This window comes from Homo sapiens, chromosome 13 (genome assembly GCF_000001405.40).
Source record: "Homo sapiens chromosome 13, GRCh38.p14 Primary Assembly".
NCBI lineage: Eukaryota > Metazoa > Chordata > Mammalia > Primates > Hominidae > Homo > Homo sapiens.
This window is the reverse complement of record NC_000013.11, coordinates 45,576,468-45,590,949: the sequence shown is the minus strand read 5'-3', so window position 1 is coordinate 45,590,949 and position 14,482 is coordinate 45,576,468. Positions and strand designations below refer to the sequence as shown.

At 46.8% G+C, this 14,482-nt stretch overlaps 1 protein-coding gene across 3 annotated transcripts in view; it reads left to right on the top strand.

Moving 5' to 3' along the window:
• Positions 1-14,482, top strand: part of ERICH6B (glutamate rich 6B) — a 74,446-nt gene that overhangs the window by 24,790 nt on the left and 35,174 nt on the right. For all 3 annotated transcript variants that reach the window (NM_182542.3, XM_017020418.2, XM_011534965.3), the window contains 4 exons: positions 253-301; positions 3,718-3,887; positions 10,285-10,347; positions 10,976-11,017. In NM_182542.3, coding sequence (NP_872348.2) covers positions 253-301; positions 3,718-3,887; positions 10,285-10,347; positions 10,976-11,017 — 324 coding nt within the window. The remainder of the gene's footprint in view (positions 1-252; positions 302-3,717; positions 3,888-10,284; positions 10,348-10,975; positions 11,018-14,482) is intronic.

Here is a 14,482-nt window from a genome sequence, read left to right as displayed (position 1 = left end):
AGATAAGCAAAGCAAACTCGAATTTCCAAAATCCATGATTGCCTGAAAAGTATCTTCTTGAGTTCTCACTAATTTTATAAAATTTCAACCCAGTAATTTTTAAAGGAAACCATTAAGAGACAATACTAAAGAAAAGTAAAAATAGAAAATTTCTATAACTAGGGCCCTCTCCACGTACTTAACAACGTATTTTTAAATAGAAAGAAAGATGCTTTTTTGCCAATATTGCTTTTTTATTCTTTTTTCCAATAGAACCCAAGGCAAGTTATTCATCACAAACCATGCTTCTTCGTGATGCAAGGTAACAGTTTTCTTTTGGGATAAATCAGGTGGAAACTCCTGCTTGGGGACAATGTTTCAGCAGCCCTTGGAGAACACAGGACAGGGAGTGGCATGGAGTAGGGGAGGAAGAAGGAGTTTAGTGGGGGTTCCTGGAAGTTACAACCCTGCTCGCCTCTGCCACTCAGTCACTCACAGGGGAGAGGCAGGTCCCAAGATCAGAGTCCTGGGTACTCAGAACCACTAGAGATGAAAGGGGCAGAGGTCGTCTGAGTTTGGAGAGAAGGTCTCAACCAGGAGAGACTGCAAAGGGCTCGCAAGCAGTGCTCTCAGGGGAGCAGATGAATGAATGCCCCCAAGGGAAGGTGTAGTCTGTCCCGGAAGAGAATAGGCTCAGGCATATTTCCAAGGCCTGAATTCTCATTCAGTGAATACTCATTAAAATCTTGTGACAGGACTTGGCACACACTAGATGGTCAATGAAATATCTGTGGAATAAGAGAGCCTCTGTGGAATATGCTGGGCCTGCTACGTGCCCAGCTGCAGGGGTCACAAGCTTTGTCCTTGACTTTTTGTCTTGTCCCCTACACTTTCTCCCCAAAGGATAATTTATCTCCACTAGATCTAAAAAAAGCACGGGACCAGTTTGGTTATGGCAAGAAGCAGGAATGAAATCCCAGTTTTGCCAAGTAGGGGACCCATAAGTTACAACTTGAGGGCACAGGGCTCCCACATGGGGCTGTCCCTTGACCCGGCGAGGCAGCCCCCCTCCAGCCCTGCACTGGCCGCTCTGTTCCCCACTGCACACCTCCAGGGGCACTGCAAGGCCTCTGACAGGTAACTCCACTGCAGGTGATGCACAAATGAGGGAGTGGCATTCCAAAGGCCCCCGTTCACCCCAATCGCTGACACTCAAAGCAAGTGAAGCAATGTGCCCAGACACAGTGAAGGGGCCTGACAGTGACGTGACCACCTTAAAGATATTGAGAACTGGGGCTTTGGAGCCAGACTGCCTAGGTTTGAAACTCAGCTCCTCCACCCAGGCAGCTGTGTGCTACAGGGCAGCCACTTAATCTCTTGGTACCTCAGTTTCCTCATCTGTAAAATGGGGAGAGGAAGAGTTCCAGCCTCACGGGGTTTTGGTGAGGATGAAATGTATATTTACCCAGCGGGAGGCGGAACAGTGGCCAGCATACAGCACACTCTCAGTAAGTGCCGCAGATCTGTGTCATCCTCCGTTCTGCACCCCACGAACCGCCAGGTAGAAAACTTAGCAAGAGTCAGGATTCCTGGTCAGCTTTATTCCAAACATACACACCCAGCCAATCCTTTGTTCATATCTCAGCTGAGGGGGTTTCCAATGGGTTCCCAGGGCCCATGGAGAGCTGTGAGGATCAGAGAGGCCCTGGGGGGGCCTTCCTGGTGTCCACACCAGGCTTGGGTCCCCAGGGGCCAGATCTGGGCCTCCAAGTTCTGAGAGGCCCAGGATATTCTTTACATGAGAAAGCTGAGAACCCAAACCTTCCACAGACTCCTTTAGGCAGTAAGTGTTACATTCACACATGCACGTGTGTGACAGGCAAGGGTTGGGGAAGGATAGCAGGTACAGATCAAGCATGTCATGTGTCCCTTATAAACAGAAAGGCTATCAGCCACCCCAGGCCTGGAGCGGCTCCCTCTCTCACTTCCCCACTTACCGAAGGTCCTCCAGGCACATGCCCGGCCCTCCCCTCGCTAAAGCACTACAGAAGCAGGCCTCGAGTGGTCCAACTCCCCAGCATCCAGGATCCAATGGCTCCTCCCTGTGTCCTCTCCATTGCAACATAACACAGGGCTAGTGTTCAGCCCAGGTGGCTAGAACCCGGCTCTGCTTCCCGGCAGGTGAGACCTGGCAGGAACCCCAGAAGGCCCTGAGATGATCCAGCCTGGAACAGGCACGACAGACAGTGTCTGGGGGGAAAAGTACATGATAGTGGAAATGACCAGAGAGGCCAATATTGTGAGACAACTCTCTAAGTTTGTTTGGCAGATTTGACTTTTCTAAGTCCTTTCATGAGGACTGGCATCATCTCTGTGGGTCCCAGTGGGCACCAGGTGAGTGAGGTACGACAGTCATCATCTCGCTAGAAGGATAAAGAAACAGGCCCTAGAGAGTCTCCTCACCTGGCCTTGGGGCCTGGAGCAGGGCAAGAGTTGACATGGGCCTAAGGAACTCACCTGCATCCGCCTGTTCTTAATCCCTGCGGTCACCTGCCCTAGGATCCAAACATCTGGCCACTTGCTCAGGGACCCCTTCTTGATGGTGTATCCTAAGAACTTAGCTGCTAAGCCCCAGGCTGCTGGGCCGGCACAGACCCAAGCTCCCCTACTGATCCCTCAGAGGCACCTGCAAGATCTGCCTGAAACTCCTACAGACCCTGAAGGGAGACTTCCCAGGGCACCCACCTGTGAGAAAAAACAGGCTTCTGCTCTCTCCCTTCACCTCTTTGCCTGAGCCCTTACCCAGACTCCAGCCCTTACCCCATGCGCTGCCCCTACACTGAGTTCCCTGGTGCAGATGGGGACAGGCCTAACTTACTTCCTCTGCAAGAGCAATAGCAAACAAGTAACTTACCCCAAGTGCCTCTACTATGTTGCAAGAGCCAACATTTAAGCTCAGGTGTCAAGAGCTGACACCAAAGTCTATGCCTTTTCTACCAACCATAGTCACCACCTGTTTATATGTTAGGCATCTTTCCTTGTCCCATCTCTGCCAATTGGGCCAGTTGACATGAAATAACTCCAGGGCCAAGACACCCCAAGGACCCCTCTCATTCATTTGAATTAGTTTCTTGCCCCTAGTTAAAAGCCAGAGACTCCTGAGAAAGAACATAGTGTGGGTTGATGTGTCAGGGTCATCCCTCTTGATCCTAAGCTACCAGGTAGTGGAGCCTGCACCTCACACCCAGTGCCCCGCCCTCAGGCCCTTTGGAAAGCCTTTTTGATGGTGGTGGTGTTTGTGGTGAGCCGATTGCAGGGACAGACCTCACTGCTTGATTTTAAACTGCTGCAGCATCTAATTCAGTATCTTTTCCACTCTGCCCAAAACAACTGTGAGGTAGGGAAAGGCACTAGAATAAGCAGGGTTTTGAGCCAGGGAGGAAGGAGAATGTTCTGGAACGTCTGTCAGTTATGACCATCTGGCCCAGTGGCCTTTGAAGGTAGCCACAGATCCTCTCACAGTTTAGTGAAGCAGCAGCGGCAATGTGTGGCTCTGCTGCCCAGAGTGACACACTGGCCTATTTTTCATGATTCACAGCTAGTCTCTTCAAACCTTGAGATGTCCATCATCTGGGTCTGGACATCAAGAGCACCCCCTCAACCCCTAACATGCCTTAGAAGGGGTTCCTGACCTGGCCCCTGTCTGGAAGTTGACCTTCCTGTTCTCCCCTCTGACAGGAGTCCAGACGCTGGCCCCTCTCAGGTGACCACCTTCTTGACTGTCCCGTTGACTTTCGCTACCCCTTCTCCTGTCTCTGAATCTGCCACAGAGTCTTCTGAGTTGCTTCTGACATTGTACAGGAGGAGCCAGGCCAGTCAGACAGACTGGTGCTACGACAGAACTGCCGGTGAGGGAAGCTGCGCTCTGTCGGTGAGGCGCAGCCGGGCTCTGTGGGCCAGGGGAGGAATGGTTTTGTGCATGTGAAATATTGTGGCTCGAGTATTGCCTTTCATGCTAATGATATCCTACTGTTTCTGTTGCCCTCTGAGGTCTCATTTTGGGTAAGATGTTAACTCCTCTCCTAGCCTTGCTTCCTGTTTCATCCCATCCCAGACCCCCCTCAGAGAAAGAGCATCAGCAAAGTACTGAAACAAATAGCTTCTTCCATCTTTCCGTCTCTTCCCCTGTTTTTCATTCGTCTTCCTATTCTTGTTCTACATGAACACAGGCACAATTTCCCTCAGGGACACAGGCCATTTTCTTCCCAGATTACACACTGGCTCCCTGGGGTGACAGGCCATATCCAGATAATCATGTGGAAAATGGAAAATGGGACATGGGCCCACCTCAGACAGTCTCAGTGGGGGTCAAAGCCAGCCCTGATTCAGAACCCACCAAAACTATCCATGTAGTGAACTTTCGTGGCTACAGCTAAGACACACAGGAGAGAGTCCGGCAAAATTGCATTAAGGGTCTTCATTCTCTACCCAATTAAACCCCCAAATCCTCACTCTGGGACCCTGGGGGTGGAAGACCGAATAGCATTTCTTGCCGTTATTAATTATTTAAATCCAGCTTTAGTGGGATCGATCCATCACTGATTCACAGATTTATTTCACATCTGTAGTCATGGCAGCAGTAAATTAGATTCCCCCGTCACCTCCCTTCCCTGCCCCTATCCGTGGCTGCTAAATTTTGTAGCTCCAATGTGGTTAAATGAAATTAGGAGCCAGAAACCCTATAAGGGAGAATGGAGAGGCAGAGGACAGGCACACACCGCCAGCATGTGCTGAGGAGTGTTTCACAGGCTACATCGGTTCACTGGGGACCTTTTTCAGCGTGTGTGCTCCCACGGAGCCCCAAGAACTGGAGCCATCTCAAAGTCAGTAAGCATGACCACCGAGAAAATCTGAGCATTTATCTAAATATTCATAAGAAGGATTCTGAAAGTCATTTCCTGAGTAATTGCCAGTCAAGTGCCAATGCTAAGCTTGAGAGGATGTGGGAGAGGAGAAAGGTAATGGGAAAAGGCTGGGGTATGCAACAGAGGGGACTCGAGCCTGTTCACACCACTGTGGACCCAGCCCCGAGAGGGGCCCCATTGAAATCATTGTTTCATTGGCCCTTCATTAGCATTATTAATAGAGCTAATTATGTCTGCATTTCATTGAGGTTGTAATCACCATGTATATTCGGTCTGTATGGGCACATTTTGCAGCTATGTCTTGGAGTTCCTTAAAGCCAACATATACTGAGTGTTTAGTAAAAGTCTGACCACCCACAGGAAATGTCCACTGATCAAATATTGTGACATTGGTGGCTTGAGTCAAAGATATGGACTGTGTTGGAGCCTCTAAGCCAGGCTCAATGACACCCCAGTTTCCTGCAGTTACTTGGGGTGGGGGGATGGTCATTAGAACAAAGATTGAAACACAAGGAAAGGCAAGCAATTCCCTAAAAATTCATGGAGGTTTTTCTCTCCCCTTCTGTCTGTAGTTTCCAATCTATCTTTCTGGAGAGCATTGGTGGCAACAGGTATATGATTGTGTCTGGCCAACAGAACGGCGCAAGTGTGACAAAGAGGGACAAAGAATGAATAGATTTAGCAGCTCCTGGGTCCTGGGTCACCATTAAATGCCATAAGTATGTTTATGGGCTAGACAGCCAGTCAGCTATCAAGAAAGCCATGGAAAGGAATATTCCATCCCCAATGGCAGCCTTCTAGGGTCAGGGAAGCCTAGGTCCTGTGAGCCCTGCTGAGAGAGGGAAAAGGCAACCAGCTACCTAGCCACGCTCTCTACCAAGCCATACTGCGAACTGACTTTGAAATGCTCCAGTTTTCACTCCAAACAAGCATACTCTGATGAAAGTCCCAAATGAACCAAGGAGCACTGAGCAGTGTCCATGTTCCCTTGCTTGGTGTAAAACACAGGCTGGCCACATGCCTGAAGATGGCGACAAAGATGAACCAGGAAGCACAAAACTCCAGGAAGGTAGGGAAGTGCAAAACCCAGTCAGGAGGAGGTGGAGGAAAGGGACGCAGGAAAACCATCCGTGCAGGAGGGGAAAGCGGTCTTCCTGCAGGTGGGGTACACATTACTAAGGATTCCCAAGCATGGCAGATGCAGACAAGCAGAGCTTTCAGCCCAGGGAAGAAGCCGCCTGGTCACTTGGAGAAACACAGGTGACCACAGCAAACACAACCCAAAGAACTGGGCACGTGGAGCTGAGGCCCGCAGGAGTCAGCAAAGACGAAGCCAGGCATGGGCACTGCTGCTCCAGGAGGCCCAGAACTGGGTGTCCCTGTCACCAAGCAGTCGTGAAAATGTAGCTTTTCAACGCTTATCAGAACCCCTGCCTGAAACATCCTGGAATCTGCATTCTTAACCAGATCCCCAGAGGATGCTTGGGGACACGAACAATGAGGAAATGGAGAACTTCTAGTTTAAGATGAATTGGTTTCAAGGCACCCGCTTCCAAAGCATGATTTTATTATGGAATTGTTCAACCACAATGAGTCAAAAATCGTGTTCCACATGGCTCAGCCTTTCTCGACAAATAGGACTTTGGCCAAATATGGAGGAAAAAATACCCAGGTAAATACTTGGGACCTATGACTCCAGAGGGTGGCAGGTCTGACGTGGAAAGGCTGCAACAGGCACAGGAAATGCCTTGTGATCCATATGAGAAGACGCTCTGGAGCACTGGAAACACTAGTTATGGCCTCATGTGTCTATCCAGGCACAGAGCAGGATCATAAACCAAGTCAGCCAGAAATTCTAATGCAGAGCATTACATCCATGCTCACAGAAATTCTCCATACTTAGTGCCTGGCACATAGTAACCACAAATGAATATTTATTAAATACTTGTGAAATTGTTGTTGAATGCTCATCTGATTCAAGGTCAGATCATGGTGATAAAAGGGTATATCCTACTACAAAAAACCAGTCTTCGTAGGAAAGGAGCTCTGTAGATAGAACTACGTACACATAGAGACATTGTGTGTATAGAAATGTGGGTGAGAATACGCAGAGGTGTAAGGAGAGGTCAGATGGTGTATTAGTCTGTTTTCATGCTGCTGATAAAGACATACCTGAGACTGGGTAATTTATAAAGAAAAAGATGTTTAATGGACTCACAGTTCCACGTGGCTGGGGAGGCCTCACAATCATGGCAGAAGGGAAAGGCACATCTTACATGGCAGCAGGCAAGAGAGAGAACTGAGAACCAAACGAAAGAAGTTTCCCCTTATAAAACCATCAGGTCCATGAGACTTATTCATCACTACAAGAACAGTATGGGGGAAACCGCCCCCATGATTCAGTTATCTCCCAGCAGGTCCCTCCCACAACATATGGGAATTACAAGAGCTACAATTCAAGATGAGATTTGGGTAGGGACACAGCCAAACCATATCAGATGGGGAAGAGGATTGAAAGCTCTCAAAAGTGCAAACTGGTGTGCTTCCTTCAGTGGACTCAGATTTTGAAATATCACATGCAGAGGTTAAAAAGATGAGGATGCTCTCAACAATAAATGTAGGAAAATGGCTGTGAACTTTAAGAATAGTGTCAGGAAAACTGAATCAATCCCAGGATAAACATTCTTACCAAAACATAATAATAATAATAGTGATCATACAGGCAGCAACAAAAGACAGAGGCCCATTTAAAATAGAATTGAGCCAAAAAAAGTCAAGACAGACAGGCTAGTACTGTTTAGTGTAGTGCTGATTAATGATTCAGGGAAAAATCAAGTTGTTTAATTGCTATTTAATTTTGACTTACTGTAAAAGAAAATTATCCTCAAACTGAAAAGAGTGCAACAAAATTAGTTGAGAAATAGCAGGAACTAAAGATTGGTGAAAAGAAATCAAAAGAGAATGGTAACTGCTGTCTCCTCATCTGGATAAAATATACTCCAGAATTTGTACGTACTGAGAGAATAGCTTAATCATGCTTCTGGTTTTTGAGGAATTGTGGGAAGTTGGTGAAATGAGTCTGTGACCAATCTGGGATAAATACTGAGAGCAAAATGACCACAAGAAACCAGCCTAAGATCAATAGAAGCCAATTACATAATACTGGCTTTTAGGTCACTTTTTGACAAGGTTATCAGATTAGGGAACTGTGGAAACCCCATAGGGCGAAATTCCACAAGGCATTTCATTTCCAAAGGTTTCCTGATGTTCCTGGACAAGATAGAGATATATTAGGTGGGTGCTACTGTAAGATGATGTCATCACTAATAACTGACTGAACAGCACCTCAAGATGCTGTTTCATAGATCAGAGTCAACCCAGTTTCCAGCAGAGAGCCGTGGAGCTCTGTCCAGTACAACATTTTTTATAATAGGCTTGGATGCAGATTTAGAAGGAATATTTATATTTGTAGATGCCCTGAAGCTGTTGAATGCTGAGGATAACATAGTCAGATTCTAAAAGATTTTGGCAGGCAGAAACATCAGACCAGAATTAGCTAGATGAAAGATATTGGTCATTGATATCAGATCCTGCTATCAGGCCCCCAAAAACAGCAGGCTGGAGAAGTGCAGAGTAAGGAAGCCCTGTTTGTTGTTAGATGCTTTCTTCAACCACAAGCTCAATAATTCAACAGTATAATTGATGTCACTGCCAGAAAAGTTAACACAACCAGATACAACTGAAAGGTTATGTAGAGAGGATTTCATCCTGCTGTGCCCTGCATTGGAGTGCCATCCCTGGAATGGCGCGTTCAGTTTGGGGGACACCACACTCTCTAAGAACTAGAAGGAGCTTGGTGGGGGCTCAACAGAAGGGCTGGTGTCCTGGACAGTAACCTGGAGACTACGTCACACAAAGAACTGCTGAAGCAAAGGAGGATGTTAAGTCTGAAAGACACACGACTGAGATGTAAAAACTGACTTTAAATATTTGACAATCTGCCACACAAAACCAAGACCTGAGTCTTACACTCCAGACTGAAGGGCTAGAATAGGACACTAATGCAATCCTAGAGAAATATTTTAAGAAAAGAAATTATTCCTAACAGTCAGAACTGTGCCATGGCACAGTGAGTTTTCTTGAAATTGGAGAGCTCCTTGTCTGTAGAAGTGCCGGCCTCTTGCTGAAGAACTAATAGGCACTGATATGGCAAGTGTTCAAAGTCCTCTTAACGCCACAGGCCACAACACAAGTTTTTGTTTTTGTACCCTGTCCGTCTTGAATTTAGGACACTCCCATAAGCTAATGGAGCAGTTTACTTGGCTTTTTCATCATGGGCCTATTAGTCCCTGCTATTAAGAATGGAATGGGCCAGGCGCAGTGGCTCATGCCTGTAATCCCAGCACTTTGGGAGGCTGAGGCAGGCAGATCACCTGAGGTCAGGAGTTCGAGACCAGACTGGCCAACACGGCAAAACTCTGCCTCTACTAAAAATACAAAAAGTAGCCAGGTGTGGTGGCACACGCCTGTAGTCCCAGCTACTCAGGAGGCTGAGGCAGGAGAATGACTTGAACCTGGGAGGCGGAGGTTGCAGTAAGCGGAGATCTCACCACTACACTCCAACCTGGGCAACAGAGTGAGACTCTGTCTCAAAAACAAGAATGGAATGTAGGATGTGTATGTGTGTGTCTGTCTTTGAGTGTGTGTACACACACATGTACACACATGTATTTAGCATTCAGGAGTAGGAAGACAAACACTAGGGAAAGAGGCAAAAAGGAACAGGGATCATAAAGTTCCAGAAGACAGAAAACAAGGGTAATCAAGAACTTACAAAAGTCCTAAATATATATATACAGTAGCTTCCCATTGCAAATCTTAGCAGATCTATCCTAGGCAATCCCCATGTTTCCCATCCAGTCCCCATCACACACCCCATGGCCACAGAGCAGACACACTACTTTGTACAGTGACAGGCACACCGCATTGTGTGTCTACATGGCCTTGGAGCCACTTGGTTCTATGGTTCCTACAGCAGGAGGGATACCTCTAAAGTCTTCCTCTTACCCTGCCTCAGCCCTTCCAGCTATTCTGAGGACCAAAACTAGCCTCATGGTAACCAGAGGAGAAGGCCACAACAGGGTTACATTTTCTGACGACTAATTTATTGCAATCCTAGAGTGATTTACCAAAGCCAAAGAGGGTGGGGTGCAGTGGGGCATCTATATATGCCAGCTGTGCCGCCAGCCTCAGTTCCCCCCAACTGTTGACCAGCCTTGGGTGCCAAGAAAGAACCTGGGACCCCACATACCCAGTATGAACCCACTGGAAAATGTAAGGTTTAAATCATTAATAGCCACCCTCTTCTGCCTTTTAACAGTAAAATCTTTAAAATCGAAATCAGAAACAGAGCAAGAAACCACCACGAAGCTGGCTCCGGAAGGTAAAGTTTATGATGATTTTAAATGATCTGTAGAAGTTAGTCATCCATCCCAGAGAAGGTAAGAAGCACAGAATTAGCCTGCCCCCAGCCAAGGAGAGCATGCTGTTGGCCATTTTAGAACAGAGCAGGCTTAATGGAGGCCAATGGCCAAGGCATTATTTCTGGAATTTAATGTTGAGGCTCCAGGCTCAAGTAACACATTGAACCAGAAAGTTAAGTGCGCTGGCATTTTGAAAGGAGAGGAAATAATATTTATCACTGCAATTAGGAGGGTAGATAATGTTGTTACCCATACTTAGTTCATGCAATGACATTTACTACATCCCTACTGTATATGAGGCAGGATATAAAGTAGACAAAACCCATCTCACCCTCTCAGAACCTGAACTCTAGTGGGCAAGATACAATAAGAATAAAGGGAGGGGAATCAATATTCGGTGAGCATGTTCTGCGGGCCTCCAACTGCTGAAGATCAAGGAAGGCTTTTATCCCAAAACACAGGCACTCCACCCTGAGGCTTCCCAGATATCTAGGAGATGATTTTTAAATTGATTCCATAAGGGATTAAAAGGTCTGGACTAGTTCACTATACCGTATCCTGTTAATAATTTTTCTTATTCTTTTTTAGAGCATGTTAACACTAAAGTACAGCAAAAAAAGGAAGAAAATGGTGAGCATCTGACATAATGCATCCAAAGATCCCTGCTTTCTTCAGAGTGCCCTGGGTGGGGAAGGTGCCCCTAGCAGGTGGCTCCCTCTCTGATCCAGCATGACCCAGGGCCCAGAGGGGACTGAGGGGCATCCTGGGCACACGGACCCCAAACCTCCTCAAGAAGGAGGCTAAAACGAGAAACAGAGAGAGGGTCTCTGAAGGAACAGGACTGTAAGTCCATCTTCCTACTCAAAAGCTTGGGATAGGGACTCCCACATTTAAGAGCATCCAGAGAGTTGCTGGATTCCCTGAGGCCCTGGAAGCAGGGTTTGACTGGGATACCTGCACCTCCCCAGATAGACTCAGGGTCCTATGCCATCTTGGTAATGGATAAAGTGGAGCCCCTACAAATGGTGCAGTAAGTGTTTATTAAATGTTTATTAAGAGGGGGCTGGTTGAATCCTACGAGGGGGAAGAACAGGGGAGAATCCTTACAGCAGCAGAATCCCAACTTGTGAGCACCACTCCACAAAACAAAAGCCTGCAATTAACCAGACCCATCCTCATTAGAACACAATTTAGGGACTAAGATCTGTTTTACTTGAACATAGGGGTAGTGGGAGAAGGATCAGTTCTTACACACACACAGCAGCTGCTTATACCTCCATCCCCACCCCATGGCTTATCAAATAAACTCTTGTAAACTCTAGAGTAGGCATCCCACCCAACCCATCGCACCGCCAGAAAGGTACTACTGATCAACAGTTTTCTCCATCTTATTCCATTTCCATGGGCATTTTAGAGCTACGATGTTCAAACTTTAATGTGCAGGACAACTACCTGGTAATCTTGTTTAAAAGCAGATTCTCATTCAGCAGATCTGAGATTTGAGATCTGACCTTTCTTTTTTCTTTAGACAGGGTCTCACTCTCTTGCCCAGTGGCGTGAGAACAGCTCACAGCAGCCTCCACCTCCCAGGTTCAAGTGATTCTTCCACCTCAGCCTCCTAAGTAGCTGGGACCACGGGTGCATGCCACCACTCCTGGCTAATTTATGATTATTAAAGAGATCAGGTCTCACTCTGTTGACCAGGATTGTCTCAACTTCTGGGCTCAAGCAATCCTCCCTCCTCAGCTTCCCAAATTGCTGGGATTATAGGCGTGAGCCACCGTGCCTGGCCAGATTTGGTCTTTTTAACAAGCTCCCTTATCCATGGACCACACTTTGAGTAGCTAGATTTTAGAACAATTTATAGATTTGTGTCCATAGCAGCCACCAGCCCAACCCAACCCTTTAGCCATCTGCCTAGGATAGTAGGGAATTCACTGTGAAACATGGAGGAGGTAAAAACAGGATTGAGTTTCATCTGTGTGCTTGTCAATCAGTGGCACTGGGTTGCTCGCTTTGGAGCTAGTCCTGGGCTAGTTGCTTACTAATCACTTACTGTTCTCCCCCTCCATTTCCTCATCTATTGTTAAAGAAAAAATTATCATTAACATTTGTTAAAGCACAGTAAGAGTAAGTAGACTTTATTCAGAACCACTGTGGTAAGTTTAGAGACCACAGCAATCAGATTTTGCAGGAGGAGAAAGAGCTTGGGCTCAAGTCCAAATACATCATAGGCAAGTGAGAATTTATACCCAAGGAGCAGGGTAGAGGTCAGTGGATGGAAAATCACTAAGAGGAAACATCAGGGGCATGGGGAATTCTGAGTAAACCAACCTAATGGGATTCTTGCTAAAGATGGGTCAGGTGATCAGATATTAACCAGGTGGTGGTGGAGGATGAAGAACCTCATTAGATATCGAGGGAGATCAGATATTGAGGGTAGCGGTTCTTGTTAAACCAACTTAGCAGGGTTCTTGCTAAAACTGGATTTTATAAGGAAGTGCACAGATGGACCTAGGAAAAGATTCGGGAGCCTGACTAAAGTTTGGTCAAGCAAAGAATCTTTGTCACGTAATGTGGGAATTATAATATTTGCCCCTCAGGGCAATTACACACAGCTCATTTATCCCAAATTCAAGAATGGTAGTTCTGTCAAGAAAAATGTTAAGAGGCTGGGTGCAGTGGCTCATGCCTATAATCCGAGCACTTTGGGAGGCCGAGAAGGGAGGATCACTTGAGGCCAAGAGTTTGAGACTAGCCTGGGCAACACAGCAAGACCTCATCTCTACAAAAAATTTAAAAATTAATCAGGCATGGTGGTGTGTGCCTGTAATCCCAGCTACTCAGGAGACTGAGGTGGGAGGATTGTAACAGTGAGCCATGATCACAACACTGCAATTCAGCCTGGGCTACAGAGAGAGACCCTGTCCCTAAAAAAATGTTTTAATAAAAAAGAAAAATGATAGAGGAGAGGCACTGGAATAAGGAAGAGTTAAGATTTGTTCTTAATCCCAGCATTTTGGGAGGCTGAGGCCGGCAGATCACGAGGTCAAGAGGTAGAGAGCATCCTGGCCAACATGGTAGAACCCCGTCTCTACTAAAACTACAAAAATTAGCTTGGCATGGTGGCACACGCCTGTAATCCTAGCTACTTGGGAAGCTGAGGCAGGAGAATGGGTTGAACCCGGGAGGCGGAGATTGCAGTGAGCTGAGATCGCGCCACTGCACTCCAGCCTGCTGACAGAGCGATACTCCGTCTCAAAAAAAAAAAAAAAAAAAAAAAAAAGATTTGTTTTTAATCAGTCCAGGAGAAGACATGCTCCACCTGGGGAACAGTGTGTGCTAGCATTGACCTACATTAGCACTGGTCCTCTGAGCCACCCTCAGGATGAGTCTTATTGTCCCATTGCACAGATAAGGAGCTGGGGTGCAAGGGGGACATGCAACAGTGACATGCCGGAAGTGGCCCAGGTTCCAGATGACAGAGCTACCACTCGAATTTGGCCTGATACTCCCCCCAGGCCCTTCCCATCCTCTCATGGAGTGACTTCAGGAGGAGATAATGATATCACTAGAAGAGAGGCAGAGGTTGACAGATGTCCCCAAAGGGAAAGTTAATTAGAAATAAGGCTTTTTCTTCTCATTCAGCCCCAGTCACAGCTATGATACTGCTTATTACACTTGACATGTTGACAGTGCCCAGCCACGTTAATAAGCTTAATTATTACATTGACTCGAATGTTTCTGAGCACCACTGTTGAGTATTCAGTGCTGCCCAGTTCACCTTATTCCCGTAATAAACACTTCCTTTTGTACCAGCTCACATTATGCATTATTCAAAAAAAAAACTACTAAAATATGGCAATCGCAAATGATGGGAAGTTGCTGAGTTACCAGGGCCACAGCCATACTCATCTCCATCTCTGGCAGGCACATCTGAGGCAGGCTCAGAGCACCTTCCACCACAGCCTGCTCCTTGGTCTCTCAGGCCCCTTTTCTACCAGTTCATTCATTTCTCCTCTCTAATGCCACCCACAAGGAGCTTCCCCAGTGCTTGCTTGAATTCCCAAGGATTCTTGCTGGGTTTTCTTCAAT